This window comes from Homo sapiens, chromosome 2, assembly GCF_000001405.40.
Source record: "Homo sapiens chromosome 2, GRCh38.p14 Primary Assembly".
Taxonomy (NCBI): domain Eukaryota; kingdom Metazoa; phylum Chordata; class Mammalia; order Primates; family Hominidae; genus Homo; species Homo sapiens.
Window position 1 is genome coordinate 241,013,106 of NC_000002.12, and position 15,219 is coordinate 241,028,324.

The window sequence follows — 15,219 nt, forward strand, 5'->3', positions numbered from 1 at the left end:
TTACAGGCGTGAGCCACCGCGCCCGGCCACGAGCAGTACTGTTAACTACGGTTGCCATGCATTACATGGAGACCCCAGAACTTACTCATCCTGTCTGACTGAAGGTTTGCACCCTCCAATCAACATTTCCCCATTTCCCACCTCAGCCCCTGGTAACCATCCTTCTACTCTCTGCTTCTATGAACTCAACTTAATTTTCATTTTATTTATTTTATTTGAGAGACAGGGTCTCACTCTGTCACCAGGCTGGAGTGCAGTGGCCTGAGCCTAGCTCACTGTAACCTCGAACTCATGGGCTCCAGTGATCCTCCCACTTCAGCCACACCCCACTCCACCCCACCCCGCTGGCCCTAGTAGCTGGGATTATAGGCACGCACCACCACCTCCAGCTATATTTTTTTATTTTTCTTTTTTTGTAGAGACAGGGTCTTGCTATGTTGTCCAGGCTGGTCTTGAACTCCTGGCCTCAAGAGATCCTCCTGCCTCAGCCTCCCAAAGTGCTGGGGGTTATAGGCGTGAACCACCACACCTGGCTGAGTTCAGCTATTTTAGATTCCACATATAAGTGTCTTTCTGCGCCTGGCTTATTTCACTGAGCATAATGTCCTTCAGTTTCATCCATGTTGTTGCAAATGGCAGGATCCCTCTCTTTGTCATGGCTGAATAATATTCCCTTGTGTGTACATATGTCTGTATATATACACCACATTTTGTTTATCCATTCATCCGTCAGCAAACACTTAGGTTGAGTCTATATCTTGCTTATGGGAGTGCAGCTATTCTATGAGATACTGGTTTCATTTCATTGGGTATATACTCAGAAGTGGGATTGCTAGGCCATATGTCAGTTCTATTTTTAATTTTTTAGGTGGGGCTGTTCCTAGCTTTAGACTACTCTTTTTTCTTTTCTTTTTTTTTTTTAAGATGGAGTCTCGCTGTCTTGTCCAGGCTGGAGCGCAGTGGTGCGATCTCAGTTCACTGCAACCTCTGCCTCCCAGGTTCAAGTGATTCTTGTGCCTCAGCCTCCCAAGTAGCTAGGATTACAACTGCATGCCACCATGCCTGGCTAAGTTTTGTATTTTTAGGAGAGACAGGGTTTCACCATGTTGGCCAGGCTGGTCTCGAACTCCTGGCCTCAGGTGATCTGCCCACCTCAGCCTCTCAAAGGTGTGAGCCACCATGCCAGGCCTAGACTACTCTTAACAATGCTGTTTGTGAAAACTCTTGAAGGCATGTCCCAGTGCACACAAGTCCACATTTGTGTCAAGTCCACACCCAGGAGTGGGATTTCTGAGCCGTGGGATGTGCTGTGTGTGGATGCTGCCCAGGGCCACACCCCGGCCGACGCTTCTGCAAATGGAGCAGCTACATGGTGGGAGGTCACCATGGTCTCCTTTTCTTTTCTATGAATGAGGCTGAGCCAGTCTCATATGTTCACTTACCATTGGATTTCATCTTTTGTGGAGTGACTGTTCAAGTGTTTTCCCTCTTTTCTACAGAGTTATCTTCTTTCTCGCCGATTCGTGGGGGTTCTTGGTAACACCAGGTCATAGGTGCTGCAAATATCTTTTCTCATTCTGCACTCGTTTCATCCTCTTTAATGGCATCCTTGGGTGGATAGAAGGTGTTAATTTTACTGTAGTAAATTCTCCATATTGCTTTCCAACAGTCTTGCAGCTGTTTCATTTTGTCCTTCACACGCAGGTCTCTAATACACCTGGAGGTGATCTTCTCTTGGGGCCCGAGGTAGAGTCACGCAGGTTCCATTTTGGAGGAAATGAAAGCAGAGCCAGCACCCTTGTTGAAAAGCCGCCTCTCCCCACACACCCCCAGCGCCGTTGTGGCTGTTCCCGGGCTCTCCCTCCTGCTTCTCTGTCCCTGAGCCAGGAGCGTTGGGCTAACTGTGGCCTGACGAGAAAGGCTGGTGTCTCCTAGAACAAGCCCTTCCACCTTGCTTTTCACAAGACAGTCTTGGTTATTTTGGACTTTGCATTTTCACATAAAATGTAGAATTGGCTTATCAAGTTACACACACGTATACACACACCTGTTGTGATATTTATTGGGATTGCATTGACTATACAGATCAATGTGAGGAAAACTGATACCTTTACCATATTGAGTCGTGCAATCTAGGAACCTGGCATATTTCTGGATTTACTTAGTTGACTTTAACATTTTCAGTAAGGTTTCAGAATCGAGTGCAGAGAAGTTTTGCACATCTTTTGTTAGAGTTACTCTTAGGTACTTGGTTTTTTTCACACTATCGTAAATAGTGTCTTTAATCTCATTTTCTGGTTATTGCTGGCACATAGAACTATAATTGATTTTTTACATTTTCTAACTTTATATCCAACTGCCTGACAAAATCCCATATGAATCTTGATAAATCATCTATGTGCAGAGTCCATGGGGTTTCTACATCCACATTCAGTCACAGCAGCAGTGGGGCTCCTTTCTACTCATTTTACTTTGTGACACATTTTTGTGTCTTCCTGCGCTGGCTGAGGCCTCCCGTGAATCGTCTCATAGCGGTGGTGTTGGTGCCTGTGCTGGCCGAGGCCTCCCATGAATCGTCTCATAGCGGTGGTGTTGGTGCCTGTGCTGGCCGAGGCCTCCAATGAATCGTCTCATAGCGGTGGTGTTGGTGCCTGTGCTGGCCAAGGCCTCCCGTGAATCGTCTCATAGCGGTGGTGTTGGTGGAACCCTTGACTTGTTCCTAGTCTCAAAAAGCAAGTGTTCCGGGTTCAGCATTGAATACGATGTGTGCACTTGTGTGTCTGAAGCCTTCTTCAGATTGCCGGCAGCCTTCTCCTTGTATTCCCAGCGTTTTTAATCACAAATGGACGTTGACTTTTATTCCATGCCTTCTCTATACCTCTTCAGATGATAATATGATTTTCTCCTTTAATCTGTTAAATTGGTCATTTAAATTAATCAAATTAATGGCAAATTAAATTAATAAAGTTAATTTAATGGCAAATTAAATTAATAAAGTTAATTTAATGGCAAATTAAATTAATTGGTTTTCTGATGTAAAGCATAGCTGTGTTCCTAACAAAAGCCCACTCTGTCATGGTGGATTTTTTTTTTTTTTTTTTTTTTTTGAGATGGAGTCTTGCTCTGTCGCCCAGGCTGGAGTGCAGTGGCACGATCTTGGCTCACTGCAAGCTCCACCACCCGGGGTTCACGCTATTCTCCTGCCTTAGCCTCCCGAGTAGCTGGGACCACAGGCACCCACCACCTTGCCCGGCTAATTCTTTTTGTATTTTTTTAGTAGAGATGGGGTTTCACCATGTTAGCCAGGATGGTCTCGATCTGACCTCATGATCCTCCTGCCTCGGCCTCCCAAAGTGCTGGGATTACAGGCGTGAGCCACCACGCCCGGCCCATGGTGGATTATTTATCCTCTTTGTATATTGCTGAATCAGTTTGCTAATAATTCATTTAAGGTTTTAGCAACTTAATGTGAAATTGGCCTGGAGTTGTCCATTCATGTACTGTCTTTGTTAAATTTTAGTATCCAGGTTATGGTAGCCTCATAAAATGGATTTTTCTATCTAGAAGAGTCTATGTGTCTCTGGAATTATTTCTTGAATGTTTGGTGTAACTCACTGGTGATGCTATATGGACCTAGAGTTTCTTGCTGGGAAAATTTTGAATATTCATTCAATTTAATGATTATATAAAAAGTTGCATTTTCTATTTCCACTTACATTTGATAAGTTGCATTTTTCTTTCTTTCTTTTTTTTTTTTTTTTTTGAGACGGAGGTTTTGCTCTTGTCGCCCAGGCTGGAGTTCAATGGCACAATCTCGGCTCACTGCAACCTCTGCCTCCCGGGTTCAAGCAATTCTCCTGCCTCAGCCTCCCGAGTAGCTGGGATTACAGGCATGCACCTCCATGCCTGGCTAATTTGTATTTTTAGTAGAGACGGGGTTTCTCCATGTTGGTCAGGCTGGTCTCGAACTCCCGACCTCAGGTGATCCACCCACCTTGGCCTCCCAAAGTGCTGGGATTCCAGGCGTGAGCCACCACACCCAGCCAAGTTGCATTTTTCTAGAACATTTTTCATTTTATATAAAATGTCAGGATTGTACCCTTCTTACAAACTAACAAGTTGCCCTGTTACTGGTTGATGGGTGCCGGCAGAAAGCATGAGACTCTCATGTTAGAGCCTCATGGCACAGCAAGTAGCAAGAGTGGTTTGTGTTGGGTTCTGTTGCTGTCTAAGTCCTGCCAGCATGGCGTGGAGGGGACCAAGGAGACGCCGTACACAGTGGGTTTACATCACAGCCAAGAAACATGGAGCCTGGGGAGTGCAGCTGTTCCATAGCAAGCCTGCTTTTTGCCCCCAAGGCGACGGTTCATCCCTCAAGGTGGATCTCTGCAAACACAACCCTAAGAAATGACCCAGGCAAAGAGTGGACAGGGCCTTGTATTCTCTTGTAGTTGGCAAAAAAGTGCAGAGGCACAGCAGAGTGCCTCTCTTACCAAGCTACCTCCTCAGCCCCACACATTCTTGGCCAAACTCAAATGTTCATACCAGTATACGCCATGCCAGCAGCCAGAACCAAATCCTTCTGATCTCCTCCCACGGCAAGTGGGTGAAGGCTGCCGTCCACAGGAATCCCACAGCGGGACCTCAACCATGACCCTCAGGGGCCCAGGCACAGCCAGCTGTGAAGAATCCTGCAGAGCCCCGTAGGTCTAATTTGAGAGAGCCAGGATGCAGCCTAAGGCCTGGCTGTTATCCCTGTGGCCCATGCAAGGAGTTTGACTGCCCTGTTGACGCCACCGTCAATAATTACAGAGGCAATGAATGAGCCAAAAAAGCAGCTCCCGCTACGATGACCAACTCGTCCTGGTTTATCCGGAATTGAAAGTCTCATGTCCCGGGGACCCCCTCAGTTCCAGGCAAACCAAGGTGGTGGGTACCTTGATCCCTTTCCCGACTGGAGAGGCATTCCAAGGCTCACTCCCTCCCAGGTAACACGCAACCCGAGTAGCTCTGTCTGAGAACCGCCATTCGCCTTGCCGTGGTCCCTGCTGTGCTGATTTGGTTAAGTCTTTTTGCCATGTCACCGCGCATTTGCAGCTTTGGTCACCATACACGACGTAACCCACAGGCGCTCAGATGACGGGGAAGCTATGAATTCAAGTCAGCAAGATGGAAGCAAGGTTGTGCCCACACATGCACTTACATGGGGGCACGTTTGGGTGCAGATACCACCTGGATCCACAGGACAGAGATGGGGAACCCAGCGCAGGTCAGGTTGCCAGCTCAGCAGTAGCCTGACTCAGGCAGGCCATGAGGCACCTTGCCAGGTGCTGGATTTAAGGGGCAAAGAACATTCGTTGTTCACTCAGCCCCCTGCACGTCCCGGGGTCTAAGGTGGTCCCTGGTCAGGAGCCGGGACTGGCGTTCTCTCTCTTCAGCCAGGAAGCCAGAATGCACATCCCAGGAACTTTCACTCACCTTTCCCCAGTTTGTCCCCAACTCACACCCAGACCTGTCACAGGGCGGTGCAGGCACAAGGCCAGCAGGAGCACCCGTGTGAGAGCCACAGAGACGCCCTGCTCCCAGGCTGGCACCCACAGACCACCGCAGATGAACCCAGCTAGCAGTGCCGTCAACCAAGCCACCCACATGTTCATGACTCAGGACTGTGTCAGCCCCACAGGAGAACCCAGGTGGCCGAACCAGAGCTGAGTGAATTCCTGAGGCCCCTTTTTGGCCTGGCTGCCACCTGGAGAGCAAACCAACCAGGCGGGCTGGGGCAGCTGTCAGGGAAAGAGCCTTATCAGGCCCAGAAACGGTCAGGGCCAAACCTCAAGGCTTCCAGGTAGGTCTGTGTCACCCCGCAGAGGCCCCACATTTTGTCCTGTCATTACCCAAAGGGTGGCCAAGCGGAGAAGAACCCTTTTGGAGGATGGGATGACCATGTTCAGGACCAGGAGCACATGCCCATGGTGTGTGGACCAGGAGCACATGCCCATGGTGTGTGGACCAGGAGCACATGCCCATGGTGTGTGGACCAGGAGCACATGCCCATGGTGTGTGGACCAGGAGCACATGCCCATGGTGTGTGGACCAGGAGCAGGCAGGGAGGCAGAGGCTGGAGTCTTTCGGAGTTGATTCTTGAGGAGGCTGATCTAGAGCTTGAAAATGCCAGGAGCCTGTGGATGGGAGGGATCCTGGAATATCCATCAATACGTGATTAGTGACCCATGGCTGAGTGACCTGAGACAAAGGGAGCATCACTGTCAGATGCAAATCGTCCAGAAAGTCAAAAGCGCTCAGCGGTATAGCCAGGGCAGGCTAATTGGACTGGAACAGCAACACAATAACCTGGAGAGCGGAGACCCCACTGGTGGTCCTGGGGGCAGGGGCAGGCGTGCCCCACAGTGAGGCAGGGAGGCCAGCTTCTGTCAGGAGACTTTAGCCTGGTATGTGGAAGTTGTTTTTGCCAACTCATGCACGCCAGCTCACACAGGCGGCACAGGGTCCCTGTCATCGCCTCGTCCACAATGATGGCTGCATGGCCACTTCCGGCCCAAGAGGGATCCAAGAGGCAGCGCGGTCCGATCGGAGAGCACCCTTACCGTGGGCACCTGCACGAGCGGCCCAGGCTGTCAAATCAGTGACCAGGATTTGTTTGCAACACCAGCGGGCCCCAAATATGAGGGTGTTAGTGTCTCAGGCTGTGGTCTTCCAAGTGGCAGACCAGACCGCAGACTGGGGCAGCAGGCTTTTTCTGTAGAGGGCCAGGTAGTGACTATTTTCAGCTTTTCAGGCCACAGGGTCTCTGCTGTTGTCACGAAAAAGCAGCCGTAGACAGTAAGTACGTGAGTGTGCTCAGCCGTGCTCCCACAAACCCTGTTTCTGAAACCAGGCTGGGGTCCACAGAGGATGGATGGCCACATCTGACCCAAGGCCTGTTTGTGTATGACCTGTGAACTAAGAATGTTCTTAATACTTTTAAAGGGCTGCAAAAACAAAAAGAACAAAAAAGAATATGCAACAGAGACCACGTGTGGTCCACAGGGCCAGAAATATTTGCGATCTGGCCCTTCCCAGAAAGTCTGCTGGCCCTTGGGCAGACCACACCATTTGCAACAACCAAAATTCAGTAAAACTTCAATGTTTCTGGTCCTTAAGAGTCCTAAGGCCAGGGTGGCAGCTTCCAGCCCAGCCCCAATACTCACTGGTCTTCTGCTGTCTCCCAGAGTTGGCGCTGGGGCTGGACAGCCACTGCCCAGGGGACGCCATTGGGCTCCAGCTTAGCCGGACCATCCTTGAACCAGGCCCAGGCATCGGGGGCCCCGTGACTCGAGCACCCCGCAGAGCCAGTGGCTCACGTCAGGCACTGGACCGGAAGGTGAGCTTCCCCAAGGGGTAGCTGCCATTTTTCTTGTAAATCCAAGATGGCTCTTGGCTTTGGTACTCTTGAACATACCATTTCCTTTAGGCCACCAGGACCTGTTGGGCGCTGCCCTTATGTGATCAAGTTTAAAACCCCCAAAATGGGGGTGTCAGGTCAGTGAGTCACAGAGCCCTCAAGGGTCACACTCTACTTCTACAAGTGCTCGCTGCAGGCCAGTAGCCACCCCACCTTAAAGGGGGTGCAGTGGAGTACTGCCCTGGGTAGGGGCTGCTGCTGGACTGGGAAATGGCCTCTCGACTCCAGCAGGCTTCCCTTCTCTTGGACTCCACACTGTTTCTGCAGAAGGGACAAAGAAGCAGGAAGAGGCCATCTACGGGCCCCCTCTTACCTCTGCATGCCACAGTCCCTGAAAGTCCCCTGACACCACAGGACGGGAACATGCAGGCAGGAAACACCACGTCAACAGCAATTCCACCTTCAGATGTGACAGCTGCACACACCCAGGTTCCATCCTCAAGCTCACTTAAGCATCCCCACTGCAACCCCCTCGCTTTAATTCTAGTGCCTTCTTCCCTATGGGAACACCTCTGAGGGGTTTAGTATGCATAGGAATTGGGGGCTCAGCACAGCTGTCCGGGACCACAAGAGTAGAGAGTGTCGCAGAACTGCTGGGCCACTTGCCCCCTCCAGCTGTTAGCTCCTTGTCAGTGCCCATTGCTCTTCCCCACCACTGCGCTTCCCACATCCAGAGAGGGTCCAGGCTCAGAGGCCCCTCCCTTCCTTTGTCCTTCCCTCCCTGTTTATTCACACACCATGCAGTTCACTCTTTTAAAGTATACGAATTAGTAGCTTTTCATATATTTACAGCGTTGTATATCCATCACCACAATCCATTGTGGAACATTTTTCCTTACCCTGAATAGAAACTCCATGCCCTTTAGCCCTCACACCCCAGCCCCCCATCCACTGCAGCTCCAGACAGTCACAATCTATGTTCTGTCTCCCCTGGATTTGTCTGTTCTGGACATTTCATACAAATAGAGTCATAGTCTTTTGGGACTGGCTTCTTTCATTTAACATAGTGTTTTCAAAGTTTATTCATGTTGTAGCATGGATCAGAACTTCATTTCTTTTTATTGCCAAATAATATTTTATTTGTTTTTATGTATCCATTCATGAGTTGATAGACACTGGGATTGGTTCTACTTTTTTGGCTATTATGAATAAAGCTGCTTTGAATATTTACATAAACATTTTTGTGTGGACATGTTTCCATTTTCTTGAGTATATATGGTAGTATAAGTGGAATTGCTGGTGTGTATATTAATTCTTTGTTTAATTATTTGAGGAAATGCCAGACTATTTCCAAAGCAGCTGTACCATTTTATATTCCACTAGCAATGTATGAGGGTTCCAATTTCTCATCAACACGGGTTATTATCTACTTTTTTCATTACAGCCATCCTGCCAGGTGAAAAGTGGTATCTTGTGTTTTCAATCTGCATCTCCCTAATGGTTAATGCTGTCAAGCATCTTTTTGTATGTTATTGGCTCCTTCTAAATCTGCTCTAGAGTAATGCCTATTGAAGCTTTTATTATTGAGTTGTAATAGTACTTTATATCTTCTAGATATATATCCCTTATCTGATTATGATTTGCAGGTACATTCTCCCATCCTGTGGGTTGTCTTTTCATTTCCTAAAGGTGTCCTTTGAAGCACAAATGTTTTGAATTCTGATAATATTCAGTTCATCTATGTTTTCTTTTGTTGCCTATGCTTTTGGTGTCATATCCAAGAAACCATGGGATAATCCAAGGTCACAAAGATTTACACCTCTGTTTTATTCTAAGAGTTTTATAATTTTAGCTCTTACATTAGGTCTTTGATCCATCTTGAGTTAATTTTTGTATATGGTGTGAGGTAGGGGTCTAGCTTTATACTTTTCATAAGTATATCCAGTCTTACCAGCACCATTTGTTGAAGATACTGTTCTTTCCCCCACTGAATAACCTTGGCACCCTTGTCATGACAACACCCAAATCAGTTGGCCTTGTTTCCAGCCTACCTCTCACTACTCAGCTTCATCAACAGGTAGGATATAGAGGAACCTCACTCTCCCCACCCCACACCACTGCAAACACTTACCACTTGTGGAGAACATTCTCCACTGGGATCCTGGAAGACTTCTCATTTCTCCTAATATGAGCTATGGTGGCCTTTGTCCTTCCTCTTCCAGAAAGTCATTATTCTGTCATGCTAACATTCTTCCCTCCATTGTTTCTTCTTAAGCCAGTTTTGGTAAGTTGCATTTTTCAAGAAAATTTTCTATTTTACCTAAAATTTTTGAAAGTATTATTATAAAGCTGTTTATAAAATCCTCTGATTACCTTCTCTGATAACATCAGGGGCTGAAATGGTAGCCTCTTTTTCAGTCCTAAGCAATTTGTGCCTTCTCTTTCTTACTTGATCACTCTCACCAGAGGTTTATGTATTTTATTAGTTTAAACAAGTTTTGGCTTCATTGATGATTCACTTTATTCAGTATTTTTCTATTTTATTAACTTCTGCTCTTAATTTTTATTTTTTTCTTCTTTTACATAGGAGTTTATTATACATGATTTTATTTACTAAACTTTGTTTAGTATATTTACTTACTATATATGAGTTTGTTTACTAAATTTTGTGTTTATTTACTATATATAGATACTAAAATATGCATGCAATACTATAAATTTCCATTGAAGTTCTGCTTTCTTCACATCCTCACAAGTTTTTGCTAAATAGCATTTTTGTTACATTTCTTTATACAGTTATTTATATTTCTGTTTTCTTTTTGCCTCCATTTCCTGGTGATTAGAATTTATATTTCTTAACCTCTACTTTTTAAGTTGTTATTTCTAGTATAATTACATTGTGGATAAAGAACAAGCTCTGTAAGGTTTGCAGTCATTTGAAATTTGTTGGCAATTGCTTTATGGCCCAATATGTGGTAAAAAAAAAAATGTTCCATTTGTGATATCTATTAGGTCATTTATTATTTGCATTGTTCAGATTTTCTTTATTCTGACATATTATCTTTGTCTGTGCCTGGTCTTTTACTAGAGAAGATACATTGAGTATCCCACCATGATTGTGAGTTGAACTATTTCCTTTTGTCAATTTTTCATTTATGTATGCTGAGGCCTTGCTATAGGGTATACACAAATGCAGAGCTCTTATATCTTTATCATGATGAATTGATCCTCTTTACCACTAGCAATGCTTTTTGCCTTATGGCCTTTTTAATCTGATAATAATGTGATTATACCAGCTCTTGCTTTTGATTAGCATTTGGATAGTATATCTTTAAACTGGAACATTTAATTTATTTTCTCTCTTTTTTTCTTTTTTTTTCCTTTTTTTTTTTTTTTTTTTGAGACAGAGACTTGCTCTGTGGCCCAGGCTGGAGTGCAGTGACGGAATCTCTGCTGCAGCCTCCACCCCCCGGGTTCAGGCAATTCTCCTGCCTCAGCCTCCTAAGTAGCTGAGACTACAGGCATGTGCCACCACACCCAGCTAATTTTTGTATTTTTAGTAGAAACGAGGTTTCACCATGTTGGCCATGGCTGGTCTCAAACTCCTGACCTCAAGTGCCTGCCTGGGCCTCCCAAAGTCCTGGGATTACAGGCAGGAGCCACCATGCCCAACCTTATTCATTTTCATTCAATGCATGTCTGGTGTAGTTGTATTTCACTCTACTACCTTTTTTTTTTTTTTTTTTTTTTTTTTTTTAGACAGAGTCTTGCTGTGTCACCCAGGCTGGAGTGCAGTGGTGCTATCTTGGCTCACTGCAACCTCCACCTCCCAGGTTCAAGCAATTCTCCTGCCTCAGCCTCCCAAGTAGCTGGGACTACAGGTGCCCACCACTACACCCAGCTAATTTTTTTTGTATTTTTAGTAGAGACAGGGTTTCACTATGTTGGCCAGGCTGGTCTTGAACTCCTGACCTTGTGATCCACTCACCTCGGCCTCCAAAATGCTGGGATTACAGGTGTAAGCCACCGCACCCAGCCACCCTACTACCTTTTTTGTGCAAAATTTCCCACTGTTTTATATTTTTTCTCTCTCTCCTTTCTTGGCATGTTTTATGTTGAATATTTTAATCATGCCTTATTTTATCTTATTTTATTTTATTTTATTTTATTTTATTTATTTTTGAGACAGAGTCTCGCTCTGTTGCCCAGGCTGGAGTGCAATGGTGTGATCTTGGCTTACTGCAAACTCTGCCTCCCAGGTTCAAGCAATTCTCCTGCCTCAGCCTCCCAAGTAGCTGGGATTACTGGTGCTGCCACCACACCTGACTAAATTTTTTTGTATTTTTAGTAGAGACTGGGTTTCACCATGTTGGCCAGGCTGGTCTCAAACTCCTGACCTTAGGTGATCCATGTGCCTCAGCCTCCCAAAGTGTTGGGATTACAGGCATGAGCCACCATGCCTGGCCAATCATGCCATATTATCCCCTCTATCAGTATAGAATATGGACACTGTTTCTATTTTGGTGATTACCCTAGACCAGGGGTCCCCAGTCCCTGGGGCTGCAGACCAGTACTGGTCTGTGGCCTCACAGCAGGCAGCAAGCAGCAGGAGAGTGAGCATTACCACCTGAGCTCTGCCTCCTGTAAGATCAGTGGCGGCATTTGATTCTAATAGGAGCACAAACCCTATTGTGAACTATGCATGCGAGGGATCTAGGTTGTGTGCTCCTTATGAGACTAATACCTGATGATCTGAGATGGAACAGTTTCATCTGCAAACCATCCCCACACCCCCACCCCAGTCCATGGAAAAATTGTCTTCTATGAAACTGGTCCCTGCTACCAAAAAGGTTGGGGACCACTGCCCTAGACAACACGATATACACTTTTAACTTATTAATATTCACTACCAAGTTCATTTATACGTTTACTCTCCTCCTGGGAAATGCAATGACCTTGGAACACTTCAACATGATTTGTCATCTTTCAATGTATATTATTGTAATGAGTTTTAATTCTATAGATTTTTTACACCATTTCATAAGGCAATATATATTATTTCTTTATATTTCATTTGCCCTTCTTTCCTTCTTGCATCTCTGATCTTACATTTCCCTCTGACTTGAAGTTGATCTGTTAGCATCTCTTTTAGTGTGGGTCTGCTGTTTATTATTTATTTACCTGAATTATCTTTATTTTGCCTTCCATAGTAAAGGGTATTTTATCTGGATATAAGACTTTATGTTGGCAGTTGTTTTCTTTTAGCACGTTGAAAATATGATTCCACTGTTTTCTGGCTTTCATTGTTGTATATGAGAAGTCAGCTGTCAGTCTACTTGCAATGCCCCTAATGGTAACCTGTTTTTTTCTTTTTAAGATTGTCTCCTTGTGAATAATTTGTGCAGCAGCAATAGAAAAAGAAAAAAAAAATGAAGATTGTCTCCTTGTCATTGATCTTGTGCATTTCTGACATTTGTTGATGTGGCTTTGTTTTTCTTTTCCTTTTTTTTTTTTTTTTTTTTTTTTGAGACAGAGTCTTGCTCTGTCACCCAGGCTGGAGTGCAGTGGCACGATCTTGGCTCACTGCAACCTCCGCCTCCCGGGTTCAAGCAATTCTCCTGCCTCAGCCTCCTGAGTAGCTGGGATTACAGGCACCCAACACCACGACCAGCTAAGTTTTTTGTATTTTTAGTAGAGATGGGGTTTCACCATGTTGGTCAGGCTTGTCTCGAACCCCTGACCTCATGATCCACCCACCTCAGCCTCCCAAAGTGCTGGGATTATAGGCGTGAGCCACTGCGCCCAGCCTGTTTTTATTTTTCTAGCTAGTGAATCAGTGGGATTGTTGAGCATATGGCTTGATGTCTTTCATCAGTTCTGGAAAATTCTCACCATTGTCTTTGTGTCTCCTTTCCTTCTGGTGCTCCAAGTTGTGCATTTGTTTGGTCATCTTACTGTTTTCCATTATGTCTCATCCTTTCTTCTGTATTCTCCATCTTTTTGTCTCCTTTAAAATTCTGGATAGTTTCTTCTGACCTTTTAGTTCCAGTTCATAATTCTTTCTTAATGCATCAAGTCCACTCTTCAATCTATCCAGTTAGTTCTTAATTTCTGTTATTTAGTTACTTATATCGTATTCATTTGGTTCTTTAAAATGTCTTTTGATTAAATAATTTACATTCCTGATTAATTTTTTTAATCTAGTGCTTTTCTGTCAAGTTTTTCATTGTGGTAAAACACATAACATAAAATTTAATATCATAGCCATTTTTAAATGTGTGGTTCAATGATTAAAGTACATTCACATTATTGTGTAATCATTACCACCATCCACCCACAGAATTCTTTTCATCTTTCAAAATTGAAACTCTAATCCCATTAAATAATAAGTCCCTATTCCCCTCTTCCTTCAACACCTGGAAACCATCTTTCTACTTTCTGTCTCTATGAATTTGACTCTGCTAGGTACCTCATATAGGTGGAATCATATAGTATTTGTCTTTCTGACTGGCTTATTTTACTTAGCATAGTGTCTTTAAGGTTCAACTATGTTGTAACCTATGACAGATTTCCCTACTTTTTTTTTTTTTAAAGACAGGGTCTCACTCTGTCACGCAGTCTGGAGTGCAGTGGCATGATCTTGGCTCACTGCAACCTCCACCTCCCAGGTTCAAGTGATCCTTGTGCTTCAGCCTCCTGAGTAGCTGGGATTACAGGTATGTGCCACCATGCCCAGCTAATGTTTGTATTTTTAGTAGAAATAGAGTTTTGCCATGTTGGCTGGGCTGGTCTTGAACTCCTGACCTCAGGTGATCCACCTGCCTCAGCCACCAAAAGTGTTGGGATTACAGGCATGAGCCACTGTGCCTGGCCAAGATTTCCTTACTTTTTAAGGCTAAATAATATTCCATTGTATGGATGTGCTACATTTTGTTTACCCATTCATCCTCAGTGGACACTCAGGTTCCTGCCAGCTGTTAGCTATTGTGAATAATAATGCTATGAACATGTGTGTACAAATACAAATCTCTTCAAGACCCTGCTTTTGATTCTTTTCGTTATAGACCCAGAAGTGAAATTGCTGGGTCATATGGTAATTCTGTTTTTAATTTTGAGGAACCACCATATTGTTTTTCACAGCAGTTGTACCATTTTCCATTCTCACGAACAGTGCACAAGGGTTCCAATTTCTCCACATCTTCACCAACCCTTGTTATTTTCTTCTGTTTTTTTTTTTTTTTTTTAAGGTGGAGTCTCGCACTGTGACCCAGGCTGGAGTGCAGTGGCACGATCTCGGCTCACTGCAAGCTCCGCCTCCCGGGTTCACGCCATTCTCCTGCCTCAGCCTCCTGAGTAGCTGGGACTACAGGCACCCACCACCATGCCTGGCTAATTTTTTGTATTTCTAGTAGAGACAGGGTTTCACCATGTTAGCCAGGATGGTCTTGATCTCCTGACCTCGTGATCCACCCACCTCGGCCTCCCAGAGTGATGGGATTACAGGCGTGAGCCACCGCGCCGGGCCAGGTTTGTTTTTTTAATAGCAGTGATGTTGAACATGTTTCCAGGTGCTCATTGGTTCTTTGGAGAAATGTCTGTTCAAGTCCTTTCTCATTTTTGAAACAAGGGTTTTTTGTTGTTGAGTTTTAGGAGCTCTCTCTATATTCAGGATATTAATCCTTTATCAGATATATGATTTGCAAATATTTTCTGTTATTTTGTTTTCAGGCTGCCTTTTTACTCTGTTAATAGTGTATTTTGATGCAGGAAAATTTTTAATTTTCATGAAGTCCGATTTGTCTGTTTTTTCTTTTGTT

At 44.9% G+C, this 15,219-nt stretch overlaps 1 protein-coding gene and 1 long non-coding RNA gene across 24 annotated transcripts in view, besides 3 other annotated features; one reads left to right on the plus strand and one right to left on the minus strand.

The window, feature by feature from the left end:
• The window catches only part of SNED1 (sushi, nidogen and EGF like domains 1), a 97,919-nt gene that overhangs the window by 15,456 nt on the left and 67,244 nt on the right, over positions 1-15,219 (plus strand). For 15 of the 22 annotated variants that reach the window (XR_002959254.2, XR_002959256.2, XR_002959257.2 and 12 more), the window contains exon 2: positions 7,230-7,381. The exons of the other annotated variants lie outside the window; for them this stretch is intronic. Coding sequence is in view for 10 of the 15 variants with exons in the window: in XM_011510931.3 (XP_011509233.1) it covers positions 7,230-7,381 (152 nt within the window). In the remaining 5 variants the exon portion in view is untranslated. The remainder of the gene's footprint in view (positions 1-7,229; positions 7,382-15,219) is intronic. 22 annotated transcript variants of the gene reach the window in all.
• The window catches only part of SNED1-AS1 (SNED1 antisense RNA 1), a 50,629-nt gene continuing 35,794 nt past the window's right edge, over positions 385-15,219 (minus strand). The window contains exon 3 of one of the 2 annotated variants that reach the window (NR_187212.1): positions 385-2,912. This is a non-coding gene — a long non-coding RNA (SNED1 antisense RNA 1). Of the gene's footprint in view, positions 9,723-15,219 lie in introns of both variants that reach the window. The other variant, NR_187211.1, reaches the window with a different exon arrangement.
• Positions 4,832-5,332: an enhancer, noted in NCBI's record as "H3K4me1 hESC enhancer chr2:241957354-241957854 (GRCh37/hg19 assembly coordinates)". NCBI's record gives its function as "activates a minimal SCP1, AML or CMV promoter by ChIP-STARR-seq in naive H9 embryonic stem cells {active_cell/tissue: H9 hESC(naive)}" and the evidence as "EXISTENCE:reporter gene assay evidence [ECO:0000049][PMID:30033119]".
• Positions 5,333-5,833: an enhancer, noted in NCBI's record as "H3K4me1 hESC enhancer chr2:241957855-241958355 (GRCh37/hg19 assembly coordinates)". NCBI's record gives its function as "activates a minimal SCP1, AML or CMV promoter by ChIP-STARR-seq in naive H9 embryonic stem cells {active_cell/tissue: H9 hESC(naive)}" and the evidence as "EXISTENCE:reporter gene assay evidence [ECO:0000049][PMID:30033119]".
• Positions 12,310-12,479: an enhancer, noted in NCBI's record as "experimental_57691 CRE fragment used in MPRA reporter constructs". NCBI's record gives its function as "activates a minimal promoter by MPRAs in K562 erythroleukemia cells, with activity observed for the non-introgressed 2:241964917 variant allele {active_cell/tissue: K562}" and the evidence as "EXISTENCE:reporter gene assay evidence [ECO:0000049][PMID:34662402]".